This window comes from Homo sapiens, chromosome 2, assembly GCF_000001405.40.
Source record: "Homo sapiens chromosome 2, GRCh38.p14 Primary Assembly".
Lineage (NCBI taxonomy): Eukaryota > Metazoa > Chordata > Mammalia > Primates > Hominidae > Homo > Homo sapiens.
In genome coordinates, this window is record NC_000002.12 from 4,093,492 (window position 1) to 4,115,686 (window position 22,195).

Here is a 22,195-nt window from a genome sequence, read left to right on the forward strand (position 1 = left end):
ACAGGATGATGGAGACAGGACTCGTCTAATACCCTAGAATAAAACTCTGTGTACCTACCTGATGATCACAGTTTTGTAATTCTACCTTGCTCTTTTAAATTGGCTGCAATTCTGTGGATGTTTCAGACCTGAAACTTGTTGTAGGTGTTTGTTATCACTAAGTAATGAGAACCCAATCATAGATTATTCTGTAGCTAGCAACTTCTCTGTTCAGACCACCCGCTTCAGACATTTCTCCCCAGTCACTATTCCACTTGCAGCTTCCGGGAGGAAGTTTGAGCGGGGTCACCTTGAAGCCAGAAGATGTAGCTCTCCTCTTAGGCTTCAGGGCAGGTTACAAACTGGTGTCCAGGAGAGCTTCTGCTTTTGTGTTATTTTGCCTGCTCACTGGCCTCCAGTGTGTTGAATTTGAGTTCACATTATTTCACGATGATTGCACAAAATTCCTGCAGATATAAGGAACCACACAATTCTTAATTCAATACTGCATTCAATACTGTCCATTTCATGTCACCCCAGTAGACACATAAGCGGAAGTGAATAAGAGGCCGTGCGTACTTCTCTGTGGTCCAGGACAACAAGGCAAAATAATAAATGCAAATAAATTACCCTGTGGCTGAGGATCATCGGTGTTCACTGGCAGCTGCTGGCAAATGGAATTCCGGCAGTTGCAGAGCTTCCTGGAAATGGGCATCATTGGCATCACTGAGGCCGCATGCTCCACAGAGGAAAATGCAATACTTTAGTGCGTACTCCCTTTTAAATAAATGTAAATGGAGCCTGTAATATTAATGTAACTGTTGTGGCCAAGGAATTGCTAGTTGATGAGCAAAATGCAGACAGCTATTCTTTATTTTTATTCATGAGAATAAATAAAAATCACTCTTTGAAGCCAAGTGGCTAACACAGTCTGGTTGCTAAAAGTAGAATGTTTTCTACCGTAGATCCAACAGTCTACTTCCTGGAAGTAAATATTTTATATTTGGTTTCTGTTTTTTTTTTTTTTTAATTCTGCCCCCACACTTATGAGTAGCTACACACTTCTTTAAACTTCACATGGCAAGCAGACACATAAAATGTCCAGATCAGAATGTCTTGCCATGAACTGCACACAGCATGAACGGGGCAGATGCGCATTCTGTGCACCGGGAGTCACAGAGGGCGTAAGGAAAGGGTTTGAGGAGTATGTCGGAAGAAGCCTCGGAGAGAGGAATCTGAAGGTCCACGTGGGATGCAAAAAATAGATTCTCATTACCTGAAGAGGGTCTATTTCACATTGTTTTGTTTTCTTCTCTGCATGCATTTGATTGTGTCTGGGTTCCTGTGGGACGTTATGCTTCTTCTTATCGTAGCGAAACACTGGAAGGAGATTCATTCTCTCCAGGCAAAGTAATCATCGTTACTCTCATTTTCTCTTGGTAGCACTGGCTTTACAGTTTTCAAAGGCTTTTCCCAAACATGACGTCACTTGAATTTCACTATTTTAAGAGGTGATAGAATGAGTAAATTTATCATTGTTTTAGTGACCAAGGGGCTGGAGCTCAGAGAGTTTACACAGATTTGCCCACCGTAATGCAGGTTAATACGTGGCGGATCCAGAAGCAGAACCCCAGAGTTCTGCTTCCCAGCCCCTTCACATCTTTGCTGCTGTATTACGCTGCTCCAAATATAAATGAAAATAGCAAGTTTTGGTCTACTTTGTATTGGTGTCAGTAGAATTTTGCATGTCTTGTAGGCAGTATTTATATCAAGGAGTGTATTGCATCAGAGTGAGAAACATAGAATTTGGAGTTGGATAGACCAGGTTGAAATCCTAGTGCATTGTGGTTCTGTGATTCTATTTTGGAGAAATGTCCTACCTTCCTTGAGACCCATTTCATAATCTGTAAGATGTGACTACTTACACCTTCTTCCTAGGGTTGTGGTGGGTACTCAGCCCTGCGCTTGGGACAGAGTAAATGCTCATTGTATAGTCAAATGTGTCTTTGAGCCTGAACCTTGGACTCTGGCCTTCCTGAGAGTATCTGGTCTGTTCACAGGGCTAGTGCCACCAGGCACCTGTATGAGTTATTTGTTCACAGTAGAGGAAATGCCTGTGGGCACCTAGGGGAAGAGTCAAGGAAGGAAAGGACGGCAGAGGCTGTCGAGGGCTTGGCCCATTCATGTTTAACTGTGGAGAGAAGTTTCATCATAAGAAGGGGAGATGCCAGCTCTCTCAGGAAGTCTAGAAAGGGAGGACGTGAGCCATGTGGCCTTGGGGCCTGCGGCAAAGGGCATAACGAGCCAGGCTAGAGGGACCCTCTCCTCAATTCTGGGCAGAAACTTTCTCTGTTTTTGTGCAATGTGGGATAAACCGTTTGCCACTGGTCTTTGGCCCTGAGCCTATAGCGTCGGAAACAGTGAGAAAGACCCCTCGGCACGGATATCTGGGTTCCCCTGGATGTCCCTGGAGCAGAAATCGGGGGTGGAGGTGAACTTCTTACAAGTGGCTTTGTGGAGAGCTGGAGTGCAGAATCTGAGAAGGCTGCTTGTCATAACTTTGAAACACCAGCTCCTGGAAGAACCCACATAGTTGGTGAGAATTTTGGGGGCTGGCGGAAAGGGTAAGAATTGTTGAGAGGATTTGTATTTTGCAGGTGGGTGCACAAGCCACTGTAAACTGAGTGATTCATGTTAATGTGACCCTGTGAGCACCTGCTGCCTGCGGGGGACTCAGGGGATTGTTGTTATCTGAATGTCCATGAGCATGGATCCCTGGTTTGCAATCTCGAAGCATTGGATTCATTTAGGCACCATAGTTAGAAGAGGAAGGGAGCTCATCCTCTGGGGAAGGCGAGGATATGGATGAGTGAAAATAGCAAATCCTATCAGGCCAAGGCCACTGCATTGAGGGGTGAATGGAGCACAGCGGAGGGAAGGGAGACTGGCCTTGGGGAGTCCAGGCAGCTGCAGGGCCTTGGGGAGCAGCCCCCGTGACCATGAGAGAGAAGTGGAGTGTGTGTGCCAAGCCAGCAACCCTGAGGCGGCCAGTGCTGGAGGTATCCAGCTGCTTTAGTGTGGAGCCTCAGGTCAATGGGAGTCATGACAGAAAGAAGCAGAAGTCTGTTTTGCACTAAAACCTCTCACATCTGGGTGTCCCTGTCCCCATCCTGGGCATTGAACCAGCTTTGCCTGAAGAGTTGTACCAACACAGGTGGACACTATAATGTTGATCCAAGTATCTTCACTCTTTCTGCATTGAGGGCTGATTCTCTGAAGGTCAGATTCTTGACAAATTAAGTTGTTCATGTCTCAGACGGAAGGCACAGAGCTTGGTTCTACTGTTTAAGTTACAGTTCAACAAACACAAAGAAAACAATTAGCATGTTTTTATTTACCTCCAACAGAAATCTCTGGTGTGATTCCTTGTGGCTAACTCTTAATTTCTCCCTTCTAAATGTTGCCCTAATTAAACCTTTCTCCAGAACTTTTGTACTTTTCAATGAAATTAGAATGAATGAATAAAAATGCAGATTCTAATTAGCGCTTCCTGCATATTAAAGAAATTACTCTTCCCCTTACTTAAAGAAGTGTTACTGGGAAGTAATAGATGATCTTTGAAATGCAATTTTTCTTTTCAGATAGTGGTGATAATTCTTAGCAAGGACAGTGCTGCTGCTGACAGCCATGCCCACCAGCCAGCATACTCTGCAACAGTCCGAGTGACAGACGGGCCGCTCAGAGTAGTAGCTCTATTTACTGAGGAAAGAAAAAAAAAATCTTGCAATAAACATTTTTTATAGGAAGCTATGCATGAATGCATTTGTTAAATTGTTTTAAATAACTCCAATGCCTAATAAAAATAGGATTTGAAGGACAGCTAAAGTTTCATTTTAAGATATGGCAACATCTGCATCTGCTGAATGATTTATATCTGTGACATTAACTAAGCATTATAGGAAAAAAACACTGTTTGACCTCAGGCAAGCTGGTGTGAGACATGAGCTTGTTCCAGGTTGAAATTTTCCTCTTAAATTTTTTATGAAATTCTCTCAGCAGGGTCACTGTTGGGTTCTGAAAAGATTTTTAACCTTAGGATTGCTACAGCTCAGCCATCAGAAAACCATTTATTTCATTAGCACTCCCTCCCTTTCATTTTAATGCCACGTAATAGGATAGAATAGGTTTAAGGCCCATCAACTGTAAAATTATCATTTTTCACCGAAGCAACATTATATTAAACACTTAATTATTCATTACTAATGCTTGTCATGGTGAAATATTGGCCTCGCTAATTTTGAAAGCACCAGGCCCAGCTTTTCTTCCTCGAAGGTTAATGCTGAGCCCCCATTTCATCAGATTTCCTAAATGGAGCACACCTCACGTGTCATGGTGTGGCTTTTTCGAACCCCAACCCTTTTAGCAAGTAAAGTCCCTGCTGTTCAGAATGTTCCATCTATTGGGATGAGAAGCTAGCTTTAATGGTTGTGGTGGAGAGAGCAGAATTTGGGGTGGCACAGTTTTGTGAAATGCTATCAACTGAACGATTTTATCAGGGATATATTTTTAAAGGTAACACACCTCTTGATTTAAATACATTATTTACTTTTTTATTTTAAAAATTTGTATAAATGTAAGGGGTACAAGGACCGTCTTGTTACATGGAGATATTGTGTAGTGGTGAAGTCTGGGCTTTTAATGGAACCATCACCCAAATAATGTACATTGTGCCCCAAATTAGGTACTTTCATGCAAACCAGATGACTGACTTAGAATTATGGCAGTGAAACGAGTCTGCATTCCTACAGCAGGGTTTGCCTGCCTGCATCTGGCCACGGTATTCAAGATTTCCATATTAGTCTTGCATATTCTACAACCCAGGACCCCTGCTGTGGAACATCTGTGCCGTGCAGGTTTATGGATGGTTAGAAAAAAAAAAACAACAAAACCCTCCCTGGCATCTGACTCTACATCGGGTATCGCCTTCTGAAGGCTCCATATGATATTAATTCTGTTAACAGAGAAAAGGCTTATTCATCAATCTTCCAGGCAATCTCTGGAAGATGTTATTCGGGCTGGAAACCATGCTCTCACCCCACGTGGTGCATGGGCTCCACCTGAGCGTACACAATGGCTCTTCTACGCCAGGGAAGATGAGGAAAAAGACCTTGATCTGCCACTGAAATTAAGGGGAAGGTCACTATCCCAGGAGGATACCAACAGCCACTTTGCCATTCAGCACGACTCCTGTCCTCCTGGTCCCCATTGGCCCAGGCTTGCATTCTTGAATTTTCTCAAGCAAGTCTCTGTCGCTGTTGACATCTTCCCACAAGCCTCCCTTCCACGTCCCTTACATCTCCATCTGAAAAACTCATTACCGGGATCAGAACCAGTAATACGATTTTTGAAAAGTTCTTTGGATTCCAAAATTATCAGCAGGAAAACCCTAAAACCTAAATAAAAGAAAAAAAAAAAAAGTAAAGATATACATTTGAATTATTTTAGGGAGTATTTTTCCAATTTCTGTTTAACTTAGGTTGCTTTTATTTAAGCCATAAATAATACTGATTTTGATGACTGTAGTTGGATTATCCTGAGGTTCTTCTTTTCAGATGTCTTGCTGGATTGTGGCTTCTCTACTTGGTAGTGTGGGCTGAATTGTACCTCCCCCAAAATTTATGAGATCCCCCTGGATCTCAGAATGTGTCCATATTTGGAGATAGCGCCTTTAAATGGGCAATTACCTTGAAATGAGTTCATTAGGGTCACCAGTGTCCTTTAAGAAGAAGAAATTAGGGCACAGATTGGCACATAGGGAAGCACATGTGAAGACGCAGGGCGGCAATTGCATCCTCAAGCCGAAGAGCAATGTCCAGAACAGATCCTCCCTCACGGAAAACCAAACCTGTTGACACCTTGATCTCGACTTCCATCTTCCAGAACCGTGAGACAGTAGGTTTCTGTTGTTCAAGCTGTCCAATCTGGGACCCTTAACTCATCCACTCTGCCACCCCTTGTTATCTAATATCTTCTATTCTTTTCCTTTTATAAAAAAATCAAATGCATACTTGATTAATTTTGACATACGCACACATACACACACATACAGAGGTTAAACTCTACTGATAAAGGTTAAACTATACCAAGGTTAAAGTTTACCTCTAAACTTTACGGGTTAAACTATACTGATCACATAAATGGGCACACACATTTATGTATCACATTTATACACATTTATGTGATAAATATAGTTTAACCTCTAAGGCTCCCTAATGCTCCTTCCAGTCCATTCCCACCCCTGCAGACAATGTGTCCTGGCTTCTATGATGATAGATTAGCTTTGACACTTTTTGAACTTCATGTAACAGAGAACTATGCAAAAATCACTATGATGTTGAGCTTTCTATTTTTCTCTTAATTGAAGTACATTTTGCTTCAGACGTCTTGAAACTCTGTTAGTAGGAACACTCACATTTGGCAACATTAACCCCTTCTTCATTATGCATTTTCTCTCCTTATCTCTGTCTCTTTGCCTTGACTTCGGCTCTGTGTCATATGAACAAGCCTGTGGGCTTTTTTTTTTTTTTTTTTGACAGAGTCTCAGCGTGTTGCCCAGGCTGGAGTGCTGTGGCTCGATCTCGGCTCACTGCAACCTTCACCTCCCGGGTTCAGGTAATTTTCCTGCCTCAGCCTCCTGAGTAGCTGGGATTACAGGCATGTGCCACCACGCCCGGCTAATTTTTGTATTATCAGTAGAGACAGGGTTTTGCCATGTTGGCCAGACTGGTATTGAACTCCTGACCTCAAGTGACCCACCTGCTTTGGCCTCCCAAAGTGCTGGGATTACAGGCGTGAGCCACCACGCCCAGCCTCTGTGAGCTTATTTATGCAAACAATTCACCTTGTAGGTCTTTCTTATCATATTTTAACTTGTCTTCATGTTTAATGTATATTGTTTATATCCACAAACAGTTAGCTTTTTTTTATCCTGACATTTATGCCTTTTAATTGGCATTTAGTCTATTGATATTTTAGGTAATTATTGATGTTGTTTGTTTAAGTCTACCATTTTGCTATTTGTTTTACTTATCCCAGCTGCTTTTTGTTTGTTACATTTTATTGTTCTGTTCTTTTTCACTCCCTTCTGTTATTTATTTATTTATTGTATTCCATTACAATTCCTCTACTCCTTTTAAGCTATAACTCCTTGTGTTGTATTTTTAGTGTCATTGTTAGAATTTTAATATTCATCCATAATTTTTTATAGTCTATCTAGCATCTATATATATCACTTAATGCAAAGTTTAAGAATCTTATAACTGTGTAATCCATTTACCTCACAGTTTCTTTGTGGTACAATGTATACATATTTTACACAATATTCCTAATGAACTCCACAGTGCAATTTTTATTTTTGCTTTAAACTGCCAAAAGTCATTAAGAAAAGAGTCTTTTAAAATAATTGAGAAGGGTAAATACATACTCTTTACCATAGATTTTTAGGTCTGTGTTCTATTTCTATGTCTGTGTTTGGTGCTCTTCATTCTCTCGTAATATTTCTAACTGGTGTCATTTTTCTTCATCCTGAAGAAATTCTTTTACTCGTTCTTTTAATGCAGATATGTTGGTGACAAATTTTCTTAATTTTCATTTATCTAAAAGATATTTCTCTTACCTTAATTTTTGGGGGATACTTTTTGCTGGTTAGAGAATTCTGGGTTCGCCATATTTTTTCTTTTATTCCTTGATTATTTCATCCCATTTCTTCTGGCTTCCATTGTGTTAGTGAGAAGTCAGCTCTAATTGATATCCTTGTTTTCCTATATATTATAAGTATATTTTTTCTCTTGCGACTTTTTAGTTTTATTTCTCTTTGTCTTTGGTTTTCAAGAGTTTGCTGAGTGAGGTGTGGTTGTCTCTGTATTTACTATGGTTGGGCTTTGCTGAGCTTCTTAGATATCTAGGTAGATGTTTTGCAACAAATTTGGGGAATTTAAGTCACTTATCCGCATATATTTTGTCCATTCCATTTTTTTTTTCTATCACTTGGGGACTGAATTCCATGTCTGTTAGACATTGGGCCATCGTAGTTGAGTCTATGGTGTGGATGGACCTCCTCAGCACAGCGAGACGGACTCTCTGCCCTGTGTGACTGAGGGAGCCTGGGGAGCATGTGGACCCCCTGCTCTCCTTCCAAGTTTTGCAATCCTGCACTTTCTGCTGCCCAGACACTGAAAGCTGTTGCTGCTTCTATTTTGGCCAGTTGCATAATCTTACATTTCTGTTCCCCTTCCTACCTTCTTTTAAAAATTATTATTCTAGATTGGTTTCAAATTGTGCCAGATTTGTTATAGTAACACAAATACTCCAGATAATTTTGTCACATGTTCCTATAATTCAAGTAGTTACGTTACAGAGTTGTGTATGTAAAAAATGCTGCTATTGGCCATGACAGTTCTTTGTAATTATGCAGATACACTAGGTACTTAGAAAATTATGCACTTTTATGGTCCCTAGTACAGTGCTTAATATGTTTTGTTTGTTTGTTTTATTGATGGAATGATCTGCATTAGTGGGGTGTAATCAGAAACCTAAACCACCACGTAAGCTTCCCCCATGTGGAAATAAAGTGTATGTGTGTCAGTGTGTGGGAGCATGCTGTGGGTTACACACCACAGGAGTGCCCAGCCTTATTCCTGGCTTGAGAGATTCTCAGTTCTCTTTTCTTTTGGTGATCTCTCTTCATTACTTAAGAAAAACTACTAACCGTCTAATTTTGGTATGGTGAAAATCTTCTTCCTTCCATTAATTTTTAGTGGCATAAGTAAGCCAAGAATGGAATCTTCAGAATAAGTAAAGCTGCACTAAAAGCTCAGGATGAAGTACTGGTTAAACCATTGCATCGCCAGATGCTTGGGGGATCTAGTTTCTCTTTGGGGTTTATGCAGCTGTTTATGCCACAGATTGGGACCTGCATTCTCTACATGGTACTGTCTTAGGTGCCATTCTCAGAAATCTCTTCCCTTAAGTCTCAACTCATGTGGTCAGACCCAGAGGGTCACAGGACACCCCTACTGGCTTGGAGGGTCACAGGACACCCCTACTGACCCAGATTCAGAGGACATCCCTACTTCCAGACCACCTAAGTTCTGCTTTCTGATTTCTGGACATGGGGTAAGAATGACGGACCCCAAAATGATTGACGCTGGGCCTGCATTTGAGGAGGGAGCAGGTATTTATTAATTTAAATATATTAATAATTTTGATGCTCTAAACACATCTAAGCTCACTGCACATGTAGCAGCTACCTTTGGAAACTTGAAAATGTTACATAAATGCAGAGTATTCTTGCATTGCATGTTGTAAAATCATAACTGGAAGCAGGCGTTTCTTAAGAGGAAGTCTAAGAGTATAGATGTCTCTGCTCTAGTTAACCTCATATTAGTATTTTGTAGATTATACAGGAGATTCTTAATTATTTGAAGCCTTACAAAATTGTGTAGTCTTCACGATTTAAGCCAACCATTGGAAAGTTTAAACAAAACAAAACAAGCTAATCTTTCACTATTATGGTATTGTGTTGCTAGGGTTACATTAAGGTTTTATAAATATGTGTAAGAAAAAAGAATTATAGTCATTTCTCAAAATAGTCACTATTTTCATATGGAAACAAACATTTTATTATTTAAAATGCAATCCTGTTCTTCTATTAACTGTTATAAATGAATTATTCCTATTTTGGCTCTCGTTTTTTTTGTGTTGTTTTTTGATCATAGGTAGCTTTATAATATTATCATAAAACATGATTTGGTGACAATTGTGTCTGAGGAGAGACAGAGCAACATGTTCCCCAGGAATAATGATGCCGCCAATTTGGAATATTTTGTTGACTTCAGTTATTCACACCGCAGAAGTCTTCCACAATTATTTATAACTGAGATCGGACTTAGGGCTGGTGCTGCGTGGATTTTGCACCATTTGTTGTAAACGACTATTTCAGTTTGTTATTGAATGTGAATTGCCCTTGTAATTTTTGAAGTCACACAAATGTCTATTTTCTCCTTTGCTTAGGACAGGAAAATTAAGTGATAAATATTAACCACACCTTAATAAAAGGCAAAATAACTATTCATTATGTCAACTATTTTATAAATAAATAGACTATTCCATGATCAGGAATGGAAGGGGAGGCTATAATTTTCACCATACGTTACGTAGTATTTAATGGTCCACGCTTAGTGACAGCATATTTGTGCTGTACTCTGCATGATCAGTGGCTGGGGCCTTTTTATTGCCTTGTCTCGGTGAATGGAGAGGGAAACAAAGACACAAGCAGACAAACTTCTCCACCAGAGAAGCAGCTTTGTCAATTACTTCCACTTCTTGATTCGAAATAAGATGTTAAACAAGTGTTTGTTATTTACTGGATGCGTAAGCTCCAGGCAAGATGAGGGAGAATGATGAATGAAACTCGTGGTCCCTGCCTTGAGGAATGGGGCTAGAGAGATGGGGTCTGTGCGTAAGAAATGTTGGAGAACGGGCAGGTGTAGGAGGATGTGGCTCATGATTGGGCCAGAGGGGCCTAGACAGTGGGTGCTGCTGAGGAAGGTGGGGACAGAGCAGACAGAGACACAGCTTTGGAGACAGAGCACGTGGAGCTTGACTTTGATGTGAGTGGGAATGTGGTAGGGAGTTGAGGTGGATTCTCTAAAAGGAGAGTGGATTTGTGTCCTGGGGCTGCAGTAGCAAAATACCACCAGCTGGGTGCCTTCAAACAGCAAGGATGCCTGGCCTCACAGGCACAGGGGACCAGGGGTTGGCAGAGCCGCGCCGTGTGCCAGCTTCTGGTGTTGCTCTGATCCTTGCATTCCTTGGCTTGTGGACGCCTCTCTCCCATCTCGGCCTCTGTGGTCACGTGGCCATCTCCTGTGTTTTTGTGTTTTCATGCTGTCCTCTTCCTTCTTATCAGACACCAGACATCGATTAGGGCCCACCCTACTTCCAAATAAGGTCATATTCTCAAATAAGGTGCTGGGGATTAGGACTTCAAGATATGTGGTGGACACAACCCAACCTGTAACAGGGGGAAAAGTGGAGGTGCTCAATGCAAATAGAGAATCTGGGGGACCAAATGTCAGGAAGAAGGAGGAAGAAGAGGTGAGAACAGGAGCTGATGCCACACGAGGGAGTCCTCAGACACTAGGCGAGGGCGTTTCAGTTTTACCCATTAGACCCGGAACCTGACAGTGAGAATGTAAGGCCTTAAAATGTGTAGGTTCCTGCTCCTGATTCTCAGAGCGGGGTCTGTTAATGTGCTTTTTTGAAGTGGCCAGAGAAGCTCTGCCCCTTTCTGGGTGTGGACAAGGGACACGACCACATGAAGACCACAGCGGCCACAGAAGCCGTCCCTGTAGGTTTACAGCTGTTCCCCTTTCTTCTAATTTTATAAGAGCTTTATTCGTGAATCAAAACACTTCTCCAGGTAGAAGTGCGTTGGAGGCCTTAGCCATTCATTTGGAAACAGAACCCAGCTTAGCAACTGTGCTGTTTTCTGGCCGAGTGTCACCTCCAAAAGAAAAATAAGGGAGAGAAGAAACCATAAGACCAAACACCCTTCCTCCCCAGGGCCTGTCACTAGTCAGGCTCATCTGGGATAATTCTCCCAAGAAGGGCTCCAACCTCACACTGTGGCCGCTCCATCAGCGGGGCACAGTCCTGTCCTCAGCGCCACATCCTGCAGGGCGTGGTGACCCACCTTAGGGAAGATGTTGGTGATGAACATATTGGATGGAGCAGTAGGAACTTCATTTCAGCCTGGAGTGCCCTGGCACACTAGTGAGAGGCGAAAGCTGCCTTCTGTGGTCACAGTTGCCGTTTTGGTGCGACCTGACTGACTACAGAAGCTGTGCACCCAGTGGAGCTGGGCTTCCTCCCCACCATCCAATCGTATGAAAGTGTGGCTCACACAAACCCAGAGCAGGTGCTTATTCCTATTTCGGACGGGCTCACTGCAGGACTGGGGTGCCGGGGCCCCACACCAACTCTTCCAAAGGCAGTAGAGCCAGCTGTGGAGGGGGCTCCAGTGTCTGATTTAATCCTCTACGATTTAGTTTCCATTTAGCTTTGAAATACTTATTAATTGTACAGTATACACACATATAGCACCATGTTCATCTGTAAAGGGTACAGGGATAATTGGGATTATATTGTCATCATTGGGAATGGGTTGTGTTCCTGAGGGGATGGAGTGACAGGGTGAGCTCTTCAGCACACAGGCAGAAACAGTGTCAGGGTTTGTCTCCCTGGGGCATGTTTCGAGGAGTATAAAGTGCCAAGTTTATCTGTACTATTTATTCCAATTAGGACTTTGGGCCCTTTAATCCCGTTCAGAGAGGTTTAGTCACAACAGGGAGGGACTCGGCTGGCCTGTCACTGATGTCTGGCTGAGTCTATAATGCAAACAGCAATATGACCTGGCTGGTTCCTGGTGGCACTATTAGGTACAGAAAATGGCAAATGAGATCAGTCGAGGGTTGGTGAAAGTGTTAGAACCTTGATGTGGCTGAGCCCACTGTTGTCCTGTGTGTGTGTTGAGGGGTGGGGTCCTGTGACTTCTCCATTGCCAGACACCTGCCACCATGGATGGCCCTGCACACCCATCGATACTGCTCAGCCCAGAACATTTTAGGCAAGAGCCAGGACAGTGCTTTGAACTTCTTCATCTTCCTCCTCCTCAGCAGCATTTGTCTGTATTTTGTCCCTTTTTAACAGGTCCCATTGTTTGGCCAGTGGGTGCTTTGGGAGACACATCTGAAGTGCCCATTCTCAGGAAGGCCTCTGGGATGGACCCTTCGTGAATGCATTTCTTTTTACAGGAGCCATCCTTTTAGACAGGATACAGGATTTGAGCTCCTCTAGGATTAGTTTTGGATGATGGGATTATTTAGATCTCTGTGGAGATTTCTCAGTAGGTTGTGTACGTAATGCAGGCTTGACCATGGCTTCTTTGGGACATCTCCCGACCCAAGGCTGACCTTAGTCCAGGGTTAGGGCTCTATTAGTTGATTTTGGAAAGCATTCCAGGAAGCATTCTAGGGGCTGGGGAAGTAAGGCAGGGAGCAAAGTCAACAAGAGGCACTTTATGGAGCAGGTGATTGATGTAGGAGACGGGGCCTGGGTTGCCTCGTGGTCCTCTGAAAGCATACATGGGAGATGCTTAGAGCCAGGCCCTGAGGGCAAGGGCTGGGGGCTTCATCGGATGACTGTCCTCTCCTTAGTTGAGGGCTGCTTTGGGATGCAGCGCCGCACACCCTGCTGCTTCTCACCTGTCACTCAGAGTCCAGTAAGAGAAAAGCAGGGACTCATGGCACCATCGGAACTGTCTCCAGCTGACACCCAGGAACACCTGGGGAAGAAGGCAGAGCCCCCAGCCTGTCTGCTAAACAACTTCACTTCCTCAGGGAATCCTCTGGACACCATCCTCTCGTGTGCCGCCTTTGCCTTTCAGGGCTGACTTTGAGGTATCTTCTTCATGGGACTTGACATGGTTGCTGCCTTTCCTTTATCTCTCTCTCTCTCTGTGTGTGTGTGTGTGTGTGCGCGCGTGCATGTGTGTGTAGGGGATGAGTGTGCTGTGCAGAAAATTAAATGTTGTCCGCTCTGAAGCCCACACCCTGGAGAGAACAGCACTCACATTTATCACCTTCCCGCTATGGACCAGGCGCTCGGTACTTTACTGACATGGTTAAGTACCAATCCTCACAATCACCTTATAAAGCAGATGTATGAGCCCACTGGGACTCAGAAAACTTAAGTGCCTTCCCCAAGGGTGCAAAGTGGGAAAGTGGTAGAGTCGGAGTTAGAACCCAGCTCCGTGTCACGCTGGGCCCATGCTCTTTCCGGCCTCCAAGGTTGCCAGCCCCTGGGGAGATGTGGGACTGGATTGCGGAAAAGGAAAGAGCTCTCAGCTCATTCTGACAGTAGCCAACAAAATCAACTTGATTTAAAATCTGTCCCTGGTTTCCACATTTTGTGGTAAATTGGATATCAAATGTACACATTATTGAATTTCATGTTCTGAATGTTTAATTCTTCTCCAAGTGTCACATAATTAGCCATTTGTTATATAATTGTTTTCATTACTTACATAAATTGTTTTCATTAGTGGCTCTAAATGGGTGAGTGACATTAATATGTAATAAATACAAATCATGCTGCAGCAAGGGAAGTCAGTAAGAAAAGAGGCAGCCCGGGGCTCGGGGTTAGGCTCCTAATATCATTCCCAGTCACTCCCCAGGGCACACAACTGGGGAATGCCCGGGAGGGGCATAGGGCCCCTCCTATTCCTTGCAAGAGGGGAGAAGATTTCCTACTGTAAGACATTCATCATCTCTGTCCCCAATAACTGCAGAGGTACTAATAGTTACCATTTTACACATCTTCAAGAAGTAAGGAACTTTATATACATTCTCCCATTTTCATTTAATCTATTTGATTCAACCATGAAGTGAACTGAGTCAGTCACCTGGTAATGTAAGGAACCCAGGTAGTACCTGGCAGAGCCTAGAATCAAATCCAGATCTGTCTGATTCCAAAGCCAATACCCAGTGCTCTCAGTGTTTATGTGGGAAACCAAGAGAATGGGTTTATTACTGAGATTTTCATCCTGAGCAGCTCTGAGATTTAGAAGATGATACCTGTAACTGCAGAGCCCCCTACTCTGATACTTAGATGACCTCTCTGATGATTTGTGCCACTACCTCCCATGATCTAACAATACAAGGAAGGGAAATGTTTGAAAACCTCCACTGTATTAAGAGTATTTATTATTCAAACTCTTCCAAGGACCCAAGGATGTCCTGTGGGCCCTGGGGACCAGGGAAGAAGAATGTTGTCCCTTCCAGGTCGCCTGCAGTCCTTGCAGCTTCCTCTGTGGGAACACAATTGAAAAGGCAGGGAAACCCTTGCTTCATCAGGGCAGTGTTTGGGTCCAGAGTGAAGCCACCCTCTTCCAGCTCTCAAGGCTCCATCGGGGACCCTCTTCCGGCTCTCAAGGCTGCATCGGGGACCCTCTTCCGGCTCTCAAGGCTGCATCGGGGACCCTCTTCCGGCTCTCAAGGCTGCATCGGGGACCCTCTTCCGGCTCTCAAGGCTCCATCGGGGACCCTCTTCCGGCTCTCAAGGCTCCATCGGGGACCCTCTTCCGGCTCTCAAGGCTCCATCGGGGACCCTCTTCCCGCTCTCAAGGCTCCATCGGGGACCCTCTTCCGGCTCTCAAGGCTCCATCGGGGACCCTCTTCCGGCTCTCAAGGCTCCATCGGGGAAGCTCTTCCCGCTCTCAAGGCTGCATCGGGGACCCTCTTCCCGCTCTAAAAGCTCCATCGGGGACCCTATTCCTGCTCTCAAGGCTGCATCGGGGACCCTCTTCCGGCTCTCAAGGCTCCATCGGGGACCCTCTTCCCGCTCTCAAGGCTGCATCGGGGACCCTCTTCCAGCTCTCAAGGCTCCACCGGGGACCCTCTTCCGGTTCTCAAGGCTCCATCGGGGACCCTCTTCCGGCTCTCAAGGCTGCATCAGGGAGAGCAGAACACACGTCCCAGGCTTCTGCTTGTTCCCGGCACGACCCCTGCCTCCCCCTCTCCCCTGTCAAATGCCACCATTATCTATTTGAGAACCATCAGGATCACTTCTCCTGTCCCTTGTCCTGTGTTATAAGCCACCTCAGAAAGCTGTTGTAGCTTTCCAGGGCATCTCTTTCCCCGTTAACTGTAATCCCCCTTTCTGACGCAGGACGCAGGCTGGTTCCATGGGCATCCTTCAAGGGCATGTGTAATGTGCAGTTTTAACTCAGAGCCCTGCACTCAGACCAAGGTCTGTTTTAATGTGCTGAAGTTGCCATCTTGAACTTCTTAATAATCTTTAACAAGGGATTTTCGTTTGTAGCTAGTTCTTTTCCGACCTTCAACTCTGACTTCTTCTCAATTCCTAAAACTCACACTGGGTGCCCCCTGGAATGTGTCATTTGCAAACTCTCTTACCCCTTCAACTCTCCCGCTTCTTTCTGTACAGTAGCCTTGTCCTGAAGGGCTCTGCTTCCCTGCAGCCTCCCTAAGTATTGGCTGTTTTCTCCCCATGCTCTTTCGCCATTGGCCTGGATGTTAATGGGGTTCATGTCATCCTGGCTCCCCACTGTACTTGCAGACCATTCTCTGTTCTTCCTTTCTAAAACTCCTAGGTATGAATCTCACATCATCCAGCCCATGCTCACTGTCATCTATAGATGCTGGGCTTACCACCCCCACCCTCATTCCTTAGGCTCCAGTACTCTGTTACTCTCTTCAACAGTGCTTGTTTGAATTGTTGCTGATTTCAAAATCTTTCCCAGAACTTCTTGCAATTCCTGGTCTTTTACCTCCTTGACTTCTTTGCCTCCTATTCGTCCTGCAACCCATCTCAAGTGCTTGTACACAAGGTCACACCCCTGACTCTGCCATTGCCAATAACTTCAATGCCTTCATGGCATTGGTGTCTACTGTGAGGCCAGCTGATGTTTTACCAGCTCAATCCTTCTGGTAACCTAACATCAGCAGTGCTTTCACTTACGTTCCTTGAACACTGTTTCTTATGTCTTATGTTATGTCATATATTTCATTACATATATATTACATTACATTATATATATATATTTCATTACATATATATATAACATTACGTTACATTAATGATATCAAGCATGCCATTGCATTAACCATAACTCTTTGCACATAACCATTTGCAAAGTCTCCTCTTCCGTCAGCTGTTCTCTGAATGCTTCTCTGCCTCCTCCGCCTGCCCGCAGGCAGCTTCCTTTTTGATCTGCTTTCCTCCATTCTTCTCAAGAATTGGCTGTTTTCTATTCCACACTCCTCTCTCGCCTACTTGGAATAATACCTACTTCCATGTCTGCTCATACCTGCACCACACAATGGAATGTGCCTCTGGAAAAGCCAGCCACCTGCTGCCCCCTGCCTGTCAGTGGCACGGTGGCCACTGACCTGTGGTGGGGCCACTGCACTGCTTGGTTGGATATTCTGAATTTCCTTAGTACATTTGCTTTCCTTCTATGTGATTTTTAAAATATCATTCTCTCTCTCAAACTATCTTTTCAGCTGATGACCATGCTTTCTATTTTAGTGAGAAACTAGTGGAAAATAGAGAACTTTCTCAGTCTTTTACCCTAACCCTAGCACAACGTGCCTGCTGGCATTGAGCCTATGCCCCATTCCCTGCCCTCCTTCCGTGACAGGGGGTGGGCTCTGCTGGCAGTGAAGACCACCCTCCTTGTGGGGCAAGCACCCAAGCTCTACCTGCCCTTTGAAGGACATTGCTTCAGCCATCTTTTTTCTTTGCCTCCCTCCCTCCCTCCTTCCCACCTTCCCTCCTTCCCTTCTCTTCTTCCTTCATTCCTTCCTCTCCCTTCCTCCCTCCCTTTCTTCTTCTTTTTTTCCCTCTCTCTTTCTCCCTTTCTCTCCTTTCTCTTTCTTTCCTTTCTCTCTCCCTCCTTCCTCCCCCCTCCCTTCCTCCCCCCTCCCTTCCTCCCCCCTCCCTTCCTCCCCCCTCCCTTCCTCCCCCCTCCCTTCCTCCCTCCCTCCCTTCCTCCCTCCCTCCGTTTCCTTTCTCTCCCTTTCCTTCTCTCTCTCTCTCTTTCTTTTCCGTATTTCTCTTCAGCATCAATTCTTCCCTCTTTATAGGACCTTCCCTTCAGCACACAGACATATTCCTTCTCTGACTCCATTTTCCCTCCTACCACTCCCATGTGTCTGTCCTTGTCTTTGTAGCAGTGCTTGTGGGCAGTTATGCACATGTGCGTTCTGCATCCTCTCCCTGAACTCCTTCTTGGACGCCTGAGCTGTGTAAGTCTTGGTTCCTGGTGACCTTCCTGTTGCCCACTTTTTGGTCTTTTCAGGTGACCCTGGCTCCAGCTTCCTCACTTCTGTCTCAGCCTCACTCCCTGTTCCTTCTCAGACTTCTCAGCTGCTTCTCATTTCCTTGGACTCTGAATGTTGAGTGACCCAGGACTCTACCCTAGGGAATCTCTGCCTTTTGTACCTCAGTATCACAGCTTTCTATACCATTGCCCCCTGACAACTCCCAAGTGTATTTCCCCAGCCCAGATATCTTCTCTGAGATCCCAAATCACACAGAAACTGCTTGCTGATCTCTCTGCTTGGCTACCTGAGAGCATCTCAAATCAGCTCCACCTGCATCTCAGTAAATAGCTTAATTCTTCCAGCTGCTCATGACAAAAATCCTGTAGTCATCTTTTTTTTCCACCTCTTTTTCTTTTACCCCATATTCAACGTGGCAGCAAACCCTAGTGGGTCTATCTTCCACACAGACACAGACTCAGACAGCCTACTCCCCACCTTAATTGCCACCACTGAGGTCCAATTTCCTGGATGGCAGTAGTGGCCTCAAAGTTGTTTTCCTTGGATTTTCTCATTTTTTCTTTCCTTACACTTTATTTTCAACTTGGCAGGCAGGGGGATCTTTTTATTTATTTATTTATTTATTTATTTTTTTGAGATAGAGTTTCACTTTGTCTCCCAGGATGGAGTAGAGTGGTGTGATCTCAGCTCACTGCAACCTTAGCCTCCCAGTTTCAAATGATTCTCCTGCCTCGGCCTTCCAGGTAGCTGGGATTACAGGCATGCAGCACCATGACTGGCTAATTTTTTTTTTTTTTTTTTAGTAGAGATAGGTTTCACCACGTTGGCCAGGCTTGTCACAAACTCCTGACCTCAAGTGATATGCCCGCCTTATCTTCCCAAGGTGCTGGGATTACAGGCGTGAGGCACCGCGCCCAGAAGGGATCCTTTCAAAACAAATTTTCACATCACTTTTCTGCTCATAACTCTGATAGCTTTCCATCTCACTCCAAGTCCAAGCTGACCTTATGAGAGTCACCTACGAGACCCTGCAAGGGTCCTTCCTTCCATCTTGGCTGACCTGCTTCAGGTCCAGGGGATGCCAGTGGCCTCCATCCTTTCCTGAACTCCCTCCAGCCTTTGCCCTGCCCTCTCCCTCCTGCCATGACTTTCTTCCTGCAGATACCTGCGGGTGTGCTACCTTGCTTCATTCAGGTCTCTGCTCAGATATATCTGTCACAGTTTCTATGGCTCTTAGCATCCTGTTTCTTCATTGCCCTCATCATTTGCTAAAGTAACAAATACCTTATGAATTTATCTTTGTTTCTCCCCTCACTAGAATGTGAACTTCATAAAGGCAGGAATTTTTATGTGTCTTCTTTATTTCTTTATTCCAGGACCTGGTCTATAGTGGGTGTTCGGAGACTGCAGAGCACCACCATAACCCAGAAGGTATATAGGCCTTGTAGCCTAGGGACCGGGGTTCAAATCACACTCCAGAGCTAAGCTTTGGGTGTAATGCTTGGGTACTCTGTCCCACTGTTTTATCTTCCATAAAAGGTTATTATTTATTTCTCAGGGGTCACAACAATAAGATTGTCACTGCTTGTAAACATTGCAGAGATGCACAATTGCAATGTTTTCTAAATAAAAGCAAAAAGGGGCCAGTGAGCATGCAAAATCAGTGCCAAATCCATGTGCTAAACTGTATGCGCTTAACTCCTGGAAAGCTGCTTTTGGCCCATTTGTTCTCACTTAAAATCTTTAAAATTTCCAATGAGCTTGACCCCTTGCTTTCCTAGGCTACAACAACTGGAAGCAGATTGGGAGTGAGGAGGAAGTGGGCAGAGGATGTCTGGTGGCCTTGGTGACCAGCAGCTGAGGACCCATTGATACCCAGGTGGAGAGGGAGGTGCCGATTCTCCTGAATCACGAGAGCAAAGAAATCACACGTTCTGAGGCCACGAGCTGTCTGCTTTCACCGCGCCTCCCCTCTCATCAGTGTGGAAGAAAATCACCATATGCGTGAATGTGACAGCTGAGGCTCATGAAGACCTGAGTCAGGAGAAACAGGATAATACATATTTCAAATGTTCTCTTTCCTAAGCCCATTCCATGTGTAAAATGTTTTAGAAAGATTTCCATCCCACATAATTAATTTTTCTTAAGGCCTTGGTTTTTAAAGAGGTAAGCTTGCCAAATTTGGGCATTTCACTGACGGGGAATATATCTAATTCCCCGAAACCTAGGTAAATTCTTTCCTAAATGGTATATGATCCATTAAGGAGTTTCCCAACCGAGTTTAGGGAATAGATACAAACTACAAAGCATACCATTAAAGAGCAATTAAAGCACTAGCTCTGCCACAACTATCAGGAATAACAGGATAACTGAAGCAGAGGACCTCACGTGGGCTGGGACAGGTGGAAAAGATTCCAAGACAGCGCTGCACAATCGCAAGCTCATTGCAGGCAGGGAGCTCCGCCTAGCCCTCTTTGCATCTCCTCTGAAATGCTTACCTTGCAGGAGGTACTCTGAAAATGCTTCCTGACTGATGTCTGTAGGGGTGAGATTTGGTGGGAGAATAATACAGCTAATTGTGTATGTGCGAAAGGGTTTGGTGTGAAACAGAGTGACTTGATCTAGATGAATGAAAAGCCGTGTGGGGGAATTGTGAGACATCCTTATTGCTATGTAGGCTGCAGCAGAGGATTGAAACAGCTGGTGGATAGGGCAGCGCTCCAGGATGTTGGCGTCCACGTGAGTTCCTGAGCTGAAGTCTGCAGAGCACCACCATGACCCGGAAGGCATACAGAACTTGGAGTGGAGGGATCAGGATTCAGAGCACGTTTCAGCGCTACACCGTAGGTGTATTGCCTGGCTTCTCTGTCCCACCATTTTATCTTCCATAAGCAGTTATTATTTACTTCTCGGGGACACAGCAATAAGATCACCACTCCTTGTCAACATCGCAGAGGTGTGCGAGAGTGTGTATGCACAGACATGTGCACCTACTGTGTACCATGCATGATCTTAAGCTGGTGAGTAAAGCATGTCATAATAGTGGCGTATTTTGAAAGGTTTTTCTGGCTGCAGAATGACAAGGCATGTAGGAAGGAATGAGGAAGAAAAAAATACTAAACTAAAAAGAAATTCCCTTCAACAGCACTTTGTGTTGCCAAATATTTGGTTATTTTACAGTTCTACCAAAATGAGCCGTAGAAACAAAGTTCTATTGAAATGACATCTAAATAATTTCTGAAGATTTATAGTTGCAGAAGAAGGTATGTAAATGTACACGTAAAAAATGTGTAATTATTAGTAAGAATCTGGCTTGGCCTAGCAATGTGGACTTATGGGATGCATTTCTACCCTTGCCTGGCAACCTGGACAATTAGGGAGACATAACTTAAAAATACTAGTATTCATCCACTGTATGTGTGGGGTCATTACTGATCCAGAGTTACCTCTTAGTGTACAGGGCAATTCACTTTCATAAATGCCACTTTTGGCTGGGCGCGGTGGCTCATGCCTGTAATCCCAGCACTTTGGGAGGCCCAGGCAGGTGGATCACCTGAGGTTGGGAGTTCGAGACCAGCCTGACCAACATGGAGAAACCCCGTCTCTACTAAATATGCAAACTTAGCCAGGCATACTTGAGAGGCTGAGGCAGGAGAATCGCTTGAACCTGAGAGGCGGAGGTTGCGGTGAGCCAAGATCGCGCCATTGCACTCCAGCCTAGGCAACAAGAGGGAAACTCTGTCTCAAAAAAATAAAATAAATAAATAAATAAATAAATAAATGCTTCTTTCAGTTCAGAGCTCACCTCTGTTTTATTACAAAAGATGTCCCAGTATTATTGGCAAAGGCAAGAGCACTGACTCAGATTATTTCTTTTCTTTAATTAATTTATTTTTAAAATTTATTTATTTTATTATGCTTTAAGGTCTGGGATACATGTGCAGAATGTATAGGTTTGCTGCATAGGTATACATGTGCCATGGTGGCTTGCTGCATCCATCAACCTGTCATCTACATTAGGTATTTCTCCTAATGCTATTTGCTATTCCTCTCCTTGCTCCCCAACCCCCGACAGGCCCCAGTGTGTGATGTTCCCCTCCCTGTGCCCATGTGTTCTCATTGTTCAACTCCCACTTATGAGTGAAAACATGTGTTGTTTAGTTTTCTGTTCCTGTGTTAGTGAGCTGAGAATGATGGTTTCCAGCTTCATCCATGTCCCTGCAAAGGACATGAACTCATTCTTTTTTCCTGGCTGCATAGTATTCCGTGGTGTATATATGCCACATTTT

General features: G+C 44.4%; 1 protein-coding gene across 1 annotated transcript; it reads left to right on the forward strand.

Annotated features, from left to right (window-relative positions):
• Positions 1-2,897: 2,897 nt before the first annotated feature.
• Positions 2,898-21,230, forward strand: LOC105373397 (uncharacterized). Its single transcript, XM_047446544.1, has 7 exons — positions 2,898-3,038; positions 3,621-3,722; positions 5,001-5,102; positions 9,028-9,211; positions 14,824-15,849; positions 19,283-19,337; positions 19,688-21,230. Exons 1-5 carry the CDS (start codon positions 2,898-2,900, stop codon positions 15,714-15,716), a joined length of 1,422 nt encoding a protein of 473 aa, XP_047302500.1. The 3' UTR covers positions 15,717-15,849; positions 19,283-19,337; positions 19,688-21,230.
• The last annotated feature ends 965 nt before the right edge of the window (positions 21,231-22,195 follow it).

Bases quoted from the DNA above. Each gene is read 5' to 3' on its own strand.
- LOC105373397 (XM_047446544.1), top strand. From the start codon at position 2,898: ATGGAGCACAGCGGAGGGAAGGGAGACTGGCCTTGGGGAGTCCAGGCA. The intron at 3,723-5,000 runs GTAGTAGCTCTA...TTCTGTTAACAG, and splicing joins TGACAGACGGGCCGCTCAGA to AGAAAAGGCTTATTCATCAA. The intron at 9,212-14,823 runs GTATTTATTAAT...AACTCTTCCAAG, and splicing joins TGCATTTGAGGAGGGAGCAG to GACCCAAGGATGTCCTGTGG.